Here is a 15951-nt window from a genome sequence, read left to right as displayed (position 1 = left end):
GCTCGGAGGCGCAGGCGCGGCGCGGACGCCCACACTAAGCTATAACCCTTGACGGGCTCTGAAACGCAGGCAGCTGAGAGGCGTTTTCGAGACAGCCGCCCCGGGAGATGATGTATTTATTCTTCGCACTTACTGTGCACTTAGCACCGAGAGGGCCGTACTTTGCACTTATCAACAGAAACCCGCGTTCCGCGCTCCCTGACTCCCCGTGGCCGCCGAGTGACGTGCTGCCGCCGCTGGCGCGGTTCTTGGGCCTGGGCTTTCCAACAGGTGGAGAGAGCTGGAAGCGACCGGTCGGACCAGCCCCGCTTAGCCTGACACCCACGCCTCGGGGGTTCGGGGGCGCGGCCGGCCAGGTCTTTCCAGGGAAGGGGGCGCGGGCTGGGCTGGAGCCGGGATTCCGGAGCGGGGGCTTACACTGGAAAGTGAATGCGCAGGCGGCCTCAGAACTCCAAGAAGCCGCGTTGTAGAGCTTCCCTAGGCGCCTTCTTTGATCTCTCTTAAAAAGGGTATCATTGTTAATCGCTGAGACGAATCTCCTTTTCTAGTGACTTAAGCAATCAGAGGGACTCGTCTGGGATCCAGATAAGTTGGGAATTGTTTCGCCTTCCTCAGTGCTTCCCACCCAAGTTTGCCTCCCAAGTCTTTTTTGATTTTACACACACACACACACACACACACACACACACACACCCCACTGGAGAATTCTCGATGATGAATTAATTAGGAGGTCGCTCCTGCGTGGGCTTGCCTTTCTCTCCCAACACGCCCTTTCCCCAGAAGACTCCGAACCCCTGGCGGAGTCCGATTCCTGCCCGGGCTCCCGCGGCGGAGCCCCGCTCTCGGACTGGGCGAACCCAGAGGCAGCTGAGTGCACCTCCGAGCGCTCAGCTTCCCGACGCCACCGCGACGCTGATTTATGGTCCAGTCGCTCGCTTGAACCCCAACGCTTTGGCTGGGTTAATTTTTGTCGATTGTTCCTCATCACACTCAGATAGTTTGTAGCTTGAGACGGATTTTATTTATCACCCTGCACATGTGAAATACAGTCAGACATAAAAATAACTGACTCTGGGACTCTGGCACAATATTGGAGCCGTCGGGGAATAATTTGGCTAAGCGATTTAGACGTTTCACCTTCTAAACAGAAATGCAACTCTCAGTCAAACTGTAAATCAGATTGTCTTCGGCAATGTAAAAAAAAAAAAAAAAGAAGAAAAGAAAAGAAAAAGCACCAAAACCAGAAAGAACGAAAACTAAATGAAAGAAAACGCAGATATTGTCCAAAACAATATGAGCTTCAGAAACCCAGACTGGATTTTAATTTCAGCTTTGGAACTTCATCGGAAATACGAATTCCTTAGTATTTTACCAGTGGGAACCGCCCCCAGGGATTTTAGGGTGTCCCCGGAAACTGGACTGACTTCTTTCTTTTTACTTTATTGAGAGTTTTGTTATTAAATAATATCAAGTAATAAATGCTACATAAAAAATTAATAATCCCGAACTAAGCTTACTCTCGGATGGAGTCAGGTTGGGGCCCCCTTACAAAGTTCTAATTATAAGTGGAAACAAGGGGACGGGGACGTGGAATGGCCTGGACAGGGCAGGACAGGAGCTCAAGAAGCAACAAAAACTTGGAAAATAAAAAAATTAGAAATTTCTGCAGCGCTCTCCTTGTTTCCACCTTTCCGAGGCAGATGGAAAAGAAGCTGATAAGTTTTTCTGCGCCTCATTCGTCTCCCACGTCTTTCTGGAAACCCATAATATGAAACGCTCGATTCCTCACTGTCTCACAGAGACCAAGTGATCCAAAGCCTGGCCAGGGGGAGCCCTGGGCAAAGCAGGAACTGGGAAAGAAGAGAAAACCAATACTGGCGACCACTCGATTGATCGCAAAGGGGAAATTCAAAACACAACCAAATAAAACTTCTGCCTGGGTAGGGAACATTTGCTGTAATTTTACATTATTCTCCCCTCAAATCCGTTTCATTCTTCTACAACAAAGTGGAGACCAATCTTGAGTGTTTCCCTATGCCTCCACGATGGAAATCTAAAGATGGTTTTCTTGAAGCGAACTCACAGCGAACTTACCTGTAGGCACCTGCCTACTTTCAGGGTATTTATTTGTTTGAACCCATTTTTGACCAAGACCATTTAGATAACTTGCTTCACAAATTTCTCCAAATAAACTGAAACAAGAGAGCTCTGACTCTTAAAATCTACAAAATTAAATGTAAATTTAAAGATAACAGGGTGCTACAGGTAGAAAATTAGAGTGATTTTTTTTTAATCACTTTGAAGGTGAAGGGAAGATGTTTTGGTAGTTGATAGTACTTGATATCCATTGATAATACTGAGTATGTAGTATTACATTATTATTGCAATCAAAATGTGGTTTCAAACGTGTTAAATGAAATAAATTGAATATTTTGATGGAAAATAAATCAGCAAGCACTTGGAATTTTTTCTCAAAAGCAAGTTTAATTGGTGTGTTTTTGACATTTGCATGGTCCAGATCTTAATCTGATGGTTTTTATATCATCCCCAAGCTGGCTTTCCTCAATTGATATCTCTGCTTCTTCGTATAGGGAATTCAATATACAGCACGCCCTGCTGACAGGTACCTCCCGTGTTGTGAGTAATTATTTGCCAATAGATGGCCTGATGTCCTTTTCAGTATAACAAGCTGAGAAATAAAAGAAAAATGTTTGCCACTCCACATATTTATTTTTATTTGTTAGGGTTTTTTTCTTGATTTTTAAAAATACAACAAGATAAGTTATTTATCTTAGAATCTCAAACCACAAATATCTCAAAAAACATATATTTCAAAAATTAAATCTACAGATGTAATACATACTGTGAACCCTATAAAATGCGTTTACAATTCTGACTTAAAGAAAGAAATTTATAACTTTCATATGTACCTTCCTTGTGCAATAGGCAACTGCCATATGTTTCCGACTTCCATAATTCAGTTTTCCTGGACATCTGTAGCAGGTAGTGAGTGCTTCTTAAAGTACATTTTATGTAATTTGAGAAGGAACCCGCACTGAAGACTAGAGGTGAACATTAAAAAGCACAAGACTTTCTAGAAATGCTAGTTATTCTAAATTTACATCACCTGTTATGCATGGCCTGCGATAGGTTTTTTTTTTTTCCATTCCCTTTTCTTCATGTGACTGAATTTGGAAATTCCAAAACATGTTAAGTGTTTTGGTAGAGTTCCTCTCATGATGACTACTCTTTAGCCTTTTACTTGAGGATTCTCGTTTGACTATTTCTGAAAATTCAGCTTGGAAATATATTCCAGTATGATTATTGTATTTGAAATAAATTTTAAGAATTCTATATTGAAGTGGGAAAAACCCTAAGCTGTTTCATTTTTTTTATTTTTTCTTAATTGTTTATGATACACTTTTTAAAGGACACAATAGTTTACGCAATTTAAAGTGAAGACAAAACCAAACCAAAAGTCATGCTGAAAAGTCATAACTTCTTGTCAAACTTTTGCTCATGTGTTTAAATGCAGGGTTCATTCCTAATGCTAATACTTTTTTTAATTTTTCAATAGCATATTTCTTTTTGCATAATTCCAGTGCTGGCTTTAAATTAATCCATTAAAAATCCTTTCATTCAGCTGAAACTGAAATGCCTCATCTGTCAGTACAAAAATATGAATAAATTCCAGCCACGTTTTTCATTGTTTATACTTTCAGCAGATTATATGAATGTGCACAAAATTTCCACTGTTTAAGAACTGTCGGTATCTACAGATGTAAAATATGAGAACAGGACCTAATTTACAGCCAATTAGAGGGTGCAATAATTTTTATTAAAAGCTAAACACTAAATCTAGTGACTCTTAAATGGGGCCTAAACGGGAACATTTATTTCCATTTTCAATTCATTTTGTAAAACCAGCAGACTCAAGGTAACTTTTTGTCTATAAGGAAAAATAACATTAAATATTTAATTCAAAGAATAGGAAGCTGTGTATTTTAAATATCAATTTAAACATGTTTTTATACAGCATAGACTATTAAAATGCTCATTATAACTAATTAGAGAATATTAGTTAGCTTCCCTATTGAATAGTTTGCTTTATGTCCAAATTGATCTGTTGCAATGTTGGTATTAGCAATGTCCAGCTAGGCATCTTCGGGTATTCTTTTACATCTGGGTGTTAATTTCAGTACTTCCTTCAAGCCATCTTACATGTCACATATTAGTGATAAAGACAAGTGTGGCCTTCTTGAACATTTCTGTTACTGATCCCTCAACACTGTAGTTTTGTGGGAGGAGTGTGAGTCAATAAATGAGGGAGATAGGGCAGCGGTTTTTCACCCACGGGGTGAAAAAAAATAATTGCAGTGTTGTTTGGAGGTAGAGCAGATACTGCTGGAGATACACCAAGCATGAATACGGAAGCTCATTTTCCCAGAGGGTGAATTTTCTTCTGGACGCATCACAGATTCATTACTTCCTCAATGTCCCTCGACTTGGTGGGCCAGAAGACCCCTTCTCCCCTTCCTTTCTCCAAGCTGGAAAACGGGGGGGCGGGGGGGTGGAGAGAGAGAGGAATGAAGACAAGCTTACCCTGGGAGTATACTCTCATTTGACACTCCAGAAACCGAGCACCTCCCTGGAGCCCCAATGAGAAACGATCATTGATTTTAAAAAATCAGCGCTTAAAGAGATACTCCGCGGGCTCAGACCTGATTCTGATTCTTCTACCTGAGAACTGCGGAGTTGTTCCGTGGGCTGCACAGGTCCTTTGTAGAGGGCTTCAGTCTCAGCTAATCGGAATTGAGAAGGACGAATTGTTGGGGGAAGAATGGAAAACAGTCGCCAACAAGTGGGGAGGCGATGTCTGTGCGTGCAAGTCAGCCACAGGAGTGAGCAGGGAGGAATTGCAGCTCCGGATCGCTTTGTTCACGGGGCCTGGGTTTGCATCTGCAGCACCAGACCCGGCAGAGAAATCCGCAAGAGTGCAGTCCTTGAGCCCTGGGACGCCTGAATTTACTACCGTAGGCTTTATAAACTTGTACAAGATAAAATATTTTCATTAACGCAGATCCGAAGGAGAGGCGAGAAGAAAAGTATGTGCAAAGAGAAGAAAGAGAGTGGGAAAGAGTAGGGACAGGAATCGCGGAAAGGGGAAGCCCTAGCCCATTTGTGCGGCGCTGCCTGGTGACTCAGCGTAGGCTGATGTTCACGGTCTCCAATTAGGCTATGGCTCCTTCCCAGATTAAACTATAGAGGAACGCAGCCAAATAAGTACCCCTCTTGGTGTTTGGATTTGGCCGTTGCCCACCCATACTCTCCGTCCCATTTCTGCTTCTAGCTCACTTCATCTTTTACTAATAATAAACTTCTCTATGTGTGGCAAAGAAGTCTGGGTCCGGATTATTTGGAGACTCGGGGACCATTTGATGTGCCCTGAGATCAGGGGCAAAGAACAGATTCTTGTCTGAACAGACTCAGGGCTTACCTTATCGAGTCTGAGAAATTAAATATAGGGGTTAAATACAGCGAGTGTCAAGTGTAAAAGAAAAAAAATCAATCTTTCGAAGGAATGAAGACCGGACGCATAGAGCTTTAACAATTATAACTTAAAAAAGAAACAATTGTTTATAAATAAAATGTAAGTATCTTATAAATCAGGTAAGATGAAATAGCAAACTATACACAACTGGCCATGTATCAATGCTATGTAAACAGGCTCCAGGCTAAAAAGCAGAGTGGAAGCCGACAGAGAATGAGTTTAAAACAACAACAACAAAAAAGCACTATTTCGGAACTGTCCAATTTTAAACTGCACCAAGAAAAATAAAGAAGAGACCGGATATGCTTTTTAAAAGTCCATCTCCCGCCCCTGCACGCCCCCTCCCACCAGTTAGTGTTGCTGTCCGGCAGGACATGGATTCCACTGTATATCGTTGTCCCAGATCTGGGAGCTCAAGGATCTTTTGCCCTTCTCTCTCTCCCCAAGTCCTTGAGACTAATTCATTCTGACAATATTCTCCTCTGGCTGACTTTTATTTAACATAGAATCCGGCTGGTCTTGAGAGAGGCCTGACAGTTTATTTCAGTTTTGTTTCCTCAATGTAGCTCAATACTGGGAAAAGACATTTTAATCTCCTAAAGCAACAGAAGACACACATTCTCAGGTACTTAGACCCCAACTGCCAACAGACACATTTACACTTGAGCAGGTGCACATGCTCACGCACACATGCAAACACAGACACGTGCACACGCGCGACCGGACATTGCGATTACGCGCCCTGTCCCCGCTTTCTTTGCTCTCTTGACTTGCAAAGTGCGAGGGCCTGGCGCTCTCCTCGAAAGGGCATGCCGCGCTGTTGGTAAAAGGCCTTGCTAGGACGAGGCTTTGCTGTCACTCGTCACTCTCAAGGCTGCCACTCCGCCCAGCCAACTCGGAATGTCTTTCCCTCCCATGCCCAAGAGAGATTCGACGCCCCTTCTCCAGGAGCCGAGGTTGGAGTGGGCTGCAGTCTGTGACACACTGCCCCTCGGGACCTGGGTTAGCTGGTCCTGCCCAATCCAGTAGCCTGAGCCGAACTTAACGCAAGTTGGAGGCGGCGGCAGCAGTGGTGCGGCTCTACTGCTATGATTCTCCTTAGCCAGTAGCAGGACTAGGGGGCAAACGCCTTGTCCTGTCCTCGGCGCCCTACTCACACTTGAATTATTTCTAAGGGCCACGTTCTAGAAACATCGTGGATGTAGACGAGGCTCTGCTTTCCAGCCTTTCGGCAATGCGGACACCAGTCCCCGGGTTTCCCCGCCTGCTGGGGTCTGCTGCCCAGGGTGAAGGCGAAAGACATAAAGAAATGGCAGAGGAAAAGAAGAGGGCGTGAGGCTGTATGATCCCGAGAGCGCCTTGCAGGCCTGTGTATCCCTTTCTAAATCAGTTTGAGCTGCAGGACATATACAGGGAGAACTCCTTTGCGGAACAGGCTTTGCGTCAGCAAACAGTGTTTGTCCCTGGCAGTTTCTCCCAGGGTAGGGGCTCCCACTACCCCTGCTGAGCCCCAGCAGGCCCGAGGGCTCCGACGACTACACCCCTGGGCAGCAGCAGAGTCTCCAAAGCTGTAAGGACCGCTCGGAGAAGCACCGGGTAGCTCCCTTCTTGGGGTCCCCGAGAGCCTGGGATTGGGGCGGGGCACCTCAGCTGAACGGAACTTCTTCTGGCGTCTACTCCAGCTAAGTTAGCTCCCGCCTTGTCCCACTCCCACTCCCGGCCCAAACTCTCTAGGCGGCCTCTTAGCTCTCCCTGCCGGCGCCTGCCTTCGGCTAAGCTTCAGAAATGGGATTTGCGCTTCTTTTTAATGATGTAATACCGGCCTAGGGTACCCCGGAGCTTGGAGACCCACTAGGGACCACACAGCTCTAAACCGGTCGCAAAGCCTTCATTTTGTAAAATGCAAAACACCTCCTCCCAACTGAGTTTGTTTCTCAGGCGTCTAAAAGAGGCTTCCTCCGCAAGGATATTACAAAATCATTTTTGACCTCAAGGCTGCCAGGTTTGGCTGGGCGGCTTGCTCGTGCCTCTGCTCATCGCCTGCCAGGTTCCTACTCCCGCTGTGGTGTCCGGCCTCCAGGAACCGCGCGTTCTCTTCTACAATAAAAGGATCAGTCTCAGTGGCGGATCTACCCCCAAATGCTACTCTACTGAAAGTTTACAGAGAAGTCAGAGATAAAAGGGCAGCCAACGGTTGCGGAGATTGAATTAAACGAGGGACGAGGGAGAGGAAAAAATTCCTTTGTCATATATATATATATATATATACACACACACACATATGGAGACAGAGAGAGAGACAGAGACGGAGTCTTGCTGCGTCGCCAGGCTGGAGTACAGTAGCGCGATCTGGGCTCACTGCAACCTCCGCCTCCCGAGTTCAAGCGATTCTCCTGCCTCAGCCTCCCGAGTAGCTGGGACTACAGGCGTGCACCACCACGCCCAGCTACTATTTGTATTTATTTATTTATTTAGTAGAGACGGGGGTTTCACCATGTTGGCCAGGATGGTCTCGATCTCTTGACCTCGTGATCCGCCCGCGTAGGCCTCTCAAAGTGCTGGGAATACAGGCGTGAGCCACCGCGCCCGGCCTGCCGTGTATTTTATACAAAAGATGGAGTAATATGCACGATTAATTTTATTCCACAAGAGATTTGCTCTATTTATACCAAACATATATATATATATTTGTTAATCCTAACAAAAAGTCGAGTTGAAACTACAAAACAAATTGTACAAATATATATGTTTGGTGTCATTTAATTAAAAAGCACTGATTTTATTAAATTTGTTTTAAATACATCAATGGACTCCTTAAAAGCCTGAAGTAACGATTGTAAATTGTCAACAGTAGGACAAATATAAACTTACTTAAATCACAGAGAAGTTTTTCAAATGGGGAATTTTATTGCGTCTTCATACTTATTTCATTTTGCGAAGTTTTAAGGGGTTTTAAAGTTGTCCATATCGTTAAAGACGTACAGAATGAAAATCCCATGACCTACGTTTTAAAATAACTACCACTCTTTGAAAGAAAAGGTGGGCTGCGGAAAGGGCGTGCTTTTTCTGACATTTATATGACGGACTGAGCGTTAACGTAACATTTTGCACTCCTAAAGGATTTACATATTTCTTAACCTGGTATCCCCTAAGAAAAAAATCACGGAGTAAAGTTTAAATAAGCCTAAGCCATATCTGGCGCAGACTGAGTGCAGGAACATTTAAATGAGAAAGGAGGGGCCTGCGAATTCTTCCCAGCTTCCCAATATTCTGAGTTGTAGCAACATTAAGCGATACGGAAGTGGGACGGCAATTTACGGAACCTTGAAAGATTCCTGATTTTCTAACTTGTTGAACGTCTAGTTTAAAGCCGGGAACTTCCGCCTTTCCAGGTCCTGGTGAGGAAAGCTGGAGACTACGGGGCTGGACTCAGCTACGGACGTCAGAGAGACAGAGTTCAGCGTCCGTGTGGCTGGCACATCCAAGCCAGACAGCGGCGCTTTTCACTCCTGGTTTTTCGCTACCTTGTAAGGAAGTGGGCGCGGGCTGCGCGGAGTCGGCGCCTCCTGATTGGCCGGCCGTCTGGGTGATGGACAGGGACCCGGGCTCCGCCCCCGCCGCTTTATTGACACTAATGAGCAAGTTCTTCCCACCGCTCTCCTGCCTGGAAGTGCTGACAGATCAAGGCAACAAATTTCAATTACAATCCCTAATTTGTGTCCACAGAGTGTTTTTTACCCATGTTAGTCCTCTCTGGCGCATCAGTTGAGGCAGACCTCGGAGCAGCAGGAGGAGGTGGAAGGGGTGGGAGCAAAGGAGTGCATCAGTGAGAGAGCGCGCGAGAGAGACCCAGGAAAGGAGACTTGGCCGGCGCGTCGCCGGTTCCTGGATCCCAACACAAGCGAGAAAGCGGAAACGCCAAATCTGTTTTTTGCCCGCGGTGGGGAAGGGGGCAGATCTCGGGAGGCCCCGAGAGCCTTTTAGTTTTTGGTGGGGGAAGAGCGAGAGCGCGCGTGTGCCCGCGTGAGTGTATATGAGAGAGGGGCGGGCGGGCGCGGGGCGGGGGGGATGGCCGAGAAGCGAAGGGGCTCGCCGTGCAGCATGCTAAGCCTCAAGGCGCACGCTTTCTCGGTGGAGGCGCTGATCGGCGCCGAGAAGCAGCAACAGCTTCAGAAGAAGCGGCGAAAACTGGGCGCCGAAGAGGCGGCGGGGGCCGTGGACGACGGAGGCTGCAGCCGCGGCGGCGGCGCGGGCGAAAAGGGTTCTTCTGAGGGAGACGAAGGCGCTGCGCTCCCGCCGCCGGCTGGGGCGACGTCTGGGCCGGCTCGGAGTGGCGCAGACCTGGAGCGCGGAGCCGCGGGTGAGTGGGCCCCTTCCTGCCTATAACTTCTCTCCGGCGCGAACCTGAACTTCTGCGAGTCTGTGGGTGTGCGTGCGCGCCGCGTCCCTACATGGCCAAGGCCACTCAGCCACTAGCGCATTGGCCGTGTCAGTCGCAAAGCTCGCCGCGCAACCTGGTCACCCTCCAGACGGTTCAGATACTGCTTCCAGGCTCGCCTCGCGGGCGGCCGCCGCCCACTCGGCGACCCGCGCCTTCGGCCGCGGCTGTTTGCTGCGCCTAGCGGTGCAGCTCTGTGCTTCCTGCATCTGCCTCCCTTGGGGTTCCAGCCAATGGGTGCTCTTTTTTGTTTCCTAACTTTTAAAAGCACAGGGCGGGGAGGAGGGGAGCGACGGCATACCCCACCCTGAAACCGGAACGAATGCCCTAAACCGTTTGTGCAAACCAGGAAGAGGGCGGCATATTTGGAAACTTGGTTTCCCGAAGGGTAGTTGAGCGGTTCCCTTCCCTTCTCCTCTTGATTTCTCTGCCAAGGCCGACGGCGACCGCGGGCTTGCTTTTCACACTTTTCTCTGCTGGGCTGGAAGCGCAGGGCGCCGGGAGTTTGGCGAAAGCGGGGTCTGAAGAGCCTTCTAGAAGATGCCTCCGGCCCGGCCCAAAAGAAGGCCCAAAGCGAGGCGCCGCAGACGCTTATGGCTTAAGGAGGCCCAGGCTCTTGGGACCAGAGTCCGGGCGCTTTTGCTGCTTGCGCTTCGAGGCGCAGGTTGCGTCGGAGTTTGCACTGGGGACTCTGGACCCGGGAGCTCCTCTGACTCCGTCGGGCAAGCGTCCCAGACCCCGGCGGCGGCGTGAAGCCTTTTCTGCTGGGGCCTTGGCCCTGCGGAGGCCCAGCGGGTGGGGTGGACGCTGCCCGCGCGCCTCTCCCGGGCTTGGGACTTGGGGACCAAGCAGGCCACACTGGAGCTCTGAATGCGCCCCTTCGACAGGCAGAATGTGGGTGTCTATCGACTGGCTTGTTCTTTAGGAGGACCTGATGGCACCAAAGCTTCCCCTTTTCTCCCGGTCATTTTCCTCTTCTCAGCCACCAGGTGGGCCCGTCTCCGCGGCTGGCTTCCCCTCTGTTTCCCTCACCAGTTCCCTTTCTCTGTCCTTTGCTGTCCAGGCGGCTGTGAGGACGGCTTCCAGCAGGGAGCTTCCCCTCTGGCGTCACCGGGAGGCTCCCCCAAGGGGTCTCCGGCGCGCTCCCTGGCCCGGCCCGGGACCCCTCTGCCCTCGCCGCAGGCCCCGCGGGTGGATCTGCAGGGAGCCGAGCTCTGGAAGCGCTTTCATGAGATAGGCACTGAGATGATCATCACCAAGGCCGGCAGGTAATGGGCAAGCTGGCGTGGACGCCCCTCCCTACCCCAGACCCTGTCTTCACTCACCTCTAGCTCAATCAGGAAGAAGGGCCTGCAGCTCGGTGGGGGTTCTGGATAGCATTTTCGGTCAAACGGGACCAGGCCCCAGACCGTGGTTCACTTTGGAGGCTAGCTTTGGCTACCCACCACTAGTGCAGTCGGTGCACAGTCCAACTGCCCTCTGGTTGAATGCCAGGGAGAAAATTACTGTCGCCGCTGATGCCACAGCTGTCGCGGTTGATGTTCTGCGTTCAGGGCGGTTATAAATTTGAGGTCATATTTACCCTTGTCCAGGTATTTATTTAGGCTCTAGTTGTCAGTTCTGGAACTAGGAAACATTCTTTTTTTTTTCCTTTCTCTTTTATTTTTAAACAGCAGTTTACTCCAGTAAACTATGATTTGCTTTTTCAGATTTGAAACTCCCAGGCAGATTGGTTCTTTATCAGAAGATATCCTGGCAATTTGATAAGATGATCTGTCCTGCTATTTCATATTAGACTAGGAGGAAAAGTCACTGGACTCACCCACAATACATGTTTAATCATGTATAGGTGCAAGAATAATTACCCTGATTTTTAAAAAGCATCCTGTTTATAGATTTAGAGTACCTGGTTATTTATTTATTTATTTTTGTCCTAAATGGAATCCAACACAGCCTGAATTTGCTGAGGAATACTTAAAAATTTTTTATAAAAAGGTACATCGGTTTTTTAAAAAGTGTGAAATTTTCCCATCCATTGGTTAGTAAAATAAATGGATTTGTTGGGCAGATCATATTAATTTGAGGTAGGCACATGAATATTTGCATTTTAAAGTTTTCAGTTTATTTAGTGCAGTGAAATCTATGAATAATAAGCTTCCTTAAACGGAACTTTAGAAAGCACACACAACTCTTTCAGGGAGTACACATGGTAAAAACCTGGATAGCATAAAAAGTATCCAAACTTATTAGAAATTACAAAAAAACATATTTTATTGAATCCATATGCTACCTTCTACATTTTCACAGAGCTTTTATTAATGATCCAAATTCAGTCTTCACCAACACAAAGCAATAGTTGTCTTATAAAGGATGTAGTTAAAGACCTTTACTCTTTATCTTACAGGTGCACTGAAATAATACTAAAACAGCCAGCGTATTAAACTGTTCCCATACCTAGTTAGGAGTAATAGACTTTATTTTTTTCTAGGAGTAGTCTTTCATGGTATTTTTGTTATAGAAAAAAATTTGGTAAATAACTACTAAAATTTCTGTTATAAGGTTAAATTAACAAAAATTAGATTTCCTTGGAAGGGACTTAAACGTAAGTCATTAAATGATATTTAAAAATCAAACTGCTGTATTTGTTTTTTATATACAATAATTTACTGTTGTATTCTTTGCTGCTGTGCCTTTTTAAAAGGATGGGTGCATTTACTCTAGCATCTCCTTTGATATGCATCTTTGGGAAGCCAGGATAAATGCAAATTTTCATCTGTTTTAATTAGCAAAGTTTTAAGTGTGGTTAAGTAAGAAAACATTTTCATGGTATGGCGGGGGAAGAAATGATTTGGTAAATATACGTTGTGTTTAGTTTCTGCTTTCAATAAAGAAGTTTTACTATACCTTTCAAATTTAGAGCAACTTTTGCACTTCACCTTTACCATGCTGCAGACAGGAAGTCCTGTCTCAATAAAGAACATATTGTTTGGTTATAGCATGGCACATTGGCTCCTTGTGGTTTTTTATAACCCTTTAAAAATTTCACATTATAATGTATTTTATCACTTTCAGAGATCCAAATTTTGTATTTCTACCATTTGTTACATTTTATTAGTTGTATTACTAAAGTAAATATGCTTATCGATTTTGTTTAAAAAATAAGATGCTTTCTTTTGTGCCATTACTCCCTCAGTGTAAAATTATTTTACTTTTAGCTATACTGACATTTCAGTAAACACAGAACACATGTACACAGGGTGCAACAAATTACATTTAAAAATCTCAGTTCTGATATGTTCTATGTCCTGACTCCTTGAATTACATTGGCAAAGTGAATACTATAAATTTATCCATATTAAAAATAGAGATCCAAGAGGTTTCTTTGCTTATTCACGCTCCATCCTTAGTCACAAACAAAAACCCCAAACCCTCTTTCTCTTCGCCTTTTTAAATAGGCGCATGTTTCCAGCAATGAGAGTGAAGATCTCTGGATTAGATCCTCACCAGCAATATTACATTGCCATGGATATTGTACCAGTGGACAACAAAAGATACAGGTACAGTGATTAGATACTGAACAATTAAAAAAAAAAACACTAGGATTTTGCAGGCTAGTGCCTGTTTGATCTGTGAGGACTGTGATCTTTGCTTCCAGAAGTCTGTAGAATTTCCAGATCCATACTTTAACGCCCATGGGTGCCAGCGGCCCAGATGGTGCCTTTTCTTGCGGCAAATGTGGAAACTTAATTTTTGTTTTGTTTTTAATAGATAGAGAAATGTTTTCAAATACTGAGAACTTTTTAAAGGGGATAATTTGGTGTTGCCAAACTAAATGTGTCTTTTATATTGACTTACACTTCAATTCGAATTTTGAGAGGAAATGTTATGTAATGTTTATAGATATAAATTATATTAAATGGAAAGTCATAATTTCTTTGTGATCTTTTGGTCATGTAAATTTCCTTTATCTTGTTACATACAAAACCATCAATGTTTGTAGGCTTTTTTTTTAATTTCAGAATATTATTTAAGGTTTTCTACAAGTAAGAAAAATAAAAATCTTCTAATTTATGTGATATTAAGACATCACTAAACTGGTAATAAATTTTTACCTTTCTGTTGTTTTTTTGGTATGTGTTATAACTTTTAAAAACTTCTAATATTTGGATTTTGAAAGAGGACATATTTATGTAAAGATCAAGTAAATTTTGAAAATATACACGTTCTTCAGTTTCAAACCAATCTTTACTCTTTTTTTTTTTGCAAGAAAACAAATCAGCAATTTTCAGTGACAATGCTTTATATTTTTCTGAAGAGCTAAAAACATTAACATTTAAATAAGGAAGTTTTATGTGTTTGGAAGATTCGAAGATACTGTTTTAAATTTTGCTTGTCTTCGTTTCTTTCTCGCTTTTTGTTGTTGCATGGGACAGAGCTTTTAGTAAGTTTAAACAAAATCAGATTTGTTTTTTATCACTTCAACAATTTAAGGAGTCGCTTTTTTGAAATAGCCTACTGGTATCAAAAGTACACAGATTTTAGTTAGTACATGGACATATAGAATACTACAGAAAGGGGTAATAAAAAAGACAGTCTTATTATTTGTTTTGTGTATAAGTTATTTTAATTAAATAAGTCATTAGGGAGTTTTGCTAAAATGATCTACCACATGACAGAAGCTAGAAAACATTAAAGTTCATTTTTTAAATATACTTGATTTAAAACCCATATTCCAAATGGGGTTTTGTGCTGAGGAAGATAATATAATTCTTAATAAGCTTAATAATTATTCCTTTTTCTTCTAAGTTTGTCTCCTATTTATTTTCCCAATGTCTTCCCTACATTTTGGTTGGTTTATTTTACTTAATTGATTCAAATTTACTCTCATAGAAATAAAGACATTTCAGAAATTAGTATTAAGATGTCAGGTTTTAAAAGATCAAATTGTAAAACATAATTTGTTTTCACTTATATTGCTTCCCAAGAAGAAATTTGTTTGTACTATTTGTATTTAGAATGTTTTACAAAGAATGTGTAACTTGTAGCTTTTATTCTGTCAGTGGGTGTGGAGTTTTGACTATTCAAAATGCATACTTTTTCAAGGTTTTGTTAGAGCCTATTACTCTATTTGTTTTGGCAGTAACTCAATTCATTTCCACAGTGTAATTTTTCTTGAATCTCTAAGATTTTCATTTCATTTGTCAATGTTTTCAGCAATATTAGGAAAAAATTTGGCTTATTTTCTAATGTTTGAGTGGTATTTAATCAAGTTAAAAATTATTGTCACTTATTAGAATGTAAAATTAATATTCACAAAAGCCCACAATTAGGAACTTATTGAAATTACATCATACCACTTAAAAGAAAAAGGTTTCTTTTTCTTTCTTTCTTTTTTTTTTTTTTTGAGATGGAGTCTTGCTCTGTTGCCCAGGCTGGAGTACAATGGCGTGATCTCGGCTCACTGGAACCTCCGCCTCCCAGGTTCAAACCATTCTCCTGCCTCAGCCTCCCGAATAGCTGGGATTACAGGCACTCCCCACCACACCCAGCTAACTTTTTGTATTTTTAGTAGAGACTGGGGTTTCACTATGTTGACCAGCCTGATCTCGAACTCCTGACCTCGTGATCCGCCTACCTCAGCCTCCCAAAGTGTTGGGATTATAGACATGAGCCACCGCCTCTGGCCTAAAGGAAGATTTCTGAAAGACTATCCCTAATTTTATGATTGTATATGTTTTCCCAAGAAAAGAAATGAAAGACTAGAAGGCATATTGAGCCCAAAATGAAATATGTGACAAAGAATTGAAACAAAGGGCCTCATCAGAGACGTTCTGAAAATATTTTATGCTCTTATAAAAAGAAATGTGTATATAACACAGGTAGACTTTTCTGAGACTATTTGCAAATTATAGCTTTAAATTGTATGCTAATCTTAACACACAAATGGAAGGAAAATATCTAA

General features: G+C 43.8%; 1 protein-coding gene and 1 long non-coding RNA gene across 2 annotated transcripts in view, besides 4 other annotated features; one reads left to right on the top strand and one right to left on the bottom strand.

The window, feature by feature from the left end:
* Positions 135-749: an enhancer, noted in NCBI's record as "NANOG-H3K27ac-H3K4me1 hESC enhancer chr6:85482770-85483384 (GRCh37/hg19 assembly coordinates)". NCBI's record gives its function as "activates a minimal SCP1, AML or CMV promoter by ChIP-STARR-seq in primed H9 embryonic stem cells {active_cell/tissue: H9 hESC(primed)}" and the evidence as "EXISTENCE:reporter gene assay evidence [ECO:0000049][PMID:30033119]".
* Positions 2711-11460, bottom strand: LOC124901353 (uncharacterized). Its single transcript, XR_007059666.1, has 2 exons — positions 11315-11460; positions 2711-4547 (listed from the first exon to the last, which is right to left on the bottom strand). It is a non-coding gene; the product is annotated as an uncharacterized LOC124901353 (long non-coding RNA).
* Positions 8996-9290: an enhancer, noted in NCBI's record as "tiled region #2176; K562 Activating non-DNase unmatched - State 1:Tss". NCBI's record gives its function as "activates a minimal TATA promoter and a strong SV40 promoter by Sharpr-MPRA in K562 cells {active_cell/tissue: K562}" and the evidence as "EXISTENCE:reporter gene assay evidence [ECO:0000049][PMID:27701403]".
* The window catches only part of TBX18 (T-box transcription factor 18), a 32103-nt gene continuing 25354 nt past the window's right edge, over positions 9203-15951 (top strand). The window contains exons 1-3 of the mRNA NM_001080508.3: positions 9203-9911; positions 11053-11257; positions 13445-13546. Coding sequence (NP_001073977.1) covers positions 9620-9911; positions 11053-11257; positions 13445-13546 — 599 coding nt within the window. The 5' untranslated portion in view covers positions 9203-9619. The remainder of the gene's footprint in view (positions 9912-11052; positions 11258-13444; positions 13547-15951) is intronic.
* Positions 9302-9885: an enhancer, noted in NCBI's record as "H3K27ac-H3K4me1 hESC enhancer chr6:85473634-85474217 (GRCh37/hg19 assembly coordinates)". NCBI's record gives its function as "activates a minimal SCP1, AML or CMV promoter by ChIP-STARR-seq in naive H9 embryonic stem cells {active_cell/tissue: H9 hESC(naive)}" and the evidence as "EXISTENCE:reporter gene assay evidence [ECO:0000049][PMID:30033119]".
* Positions 9886-10470: an enhancer, noted in NCBI's record as "H3K27ac-H3K4me1 hESC enhancer chr6:85473049-85473633 (GRCh37/hg19 assembly coordinates)". NCBI's record gives its function as "activates a minimal SCP1, AML or CMV promoter by ChIP-STARR-seq in naive H9 embryonic stem cells {active_cell/tissue: H9 hESC(naive)}" and the evidence as "EXISTENCE:reporter gene assay evidence [ECO:0000049][PMID:30033119]".

Source organism: Homo sapiens, chromosome 6 (genome assembly GCF_000001405.40).
Source record: "Homo sapiens chromosome 6, GRCh38.p14 Primary Assembly".
NCBI lineage: Eukaryota > Metazoa > Chordata > Mammalia > Primates > Hominidae > Homo > Homo sapiens.
This window is presented reverse-complemented; position numbering and strand designations above follow the sequence as displayed.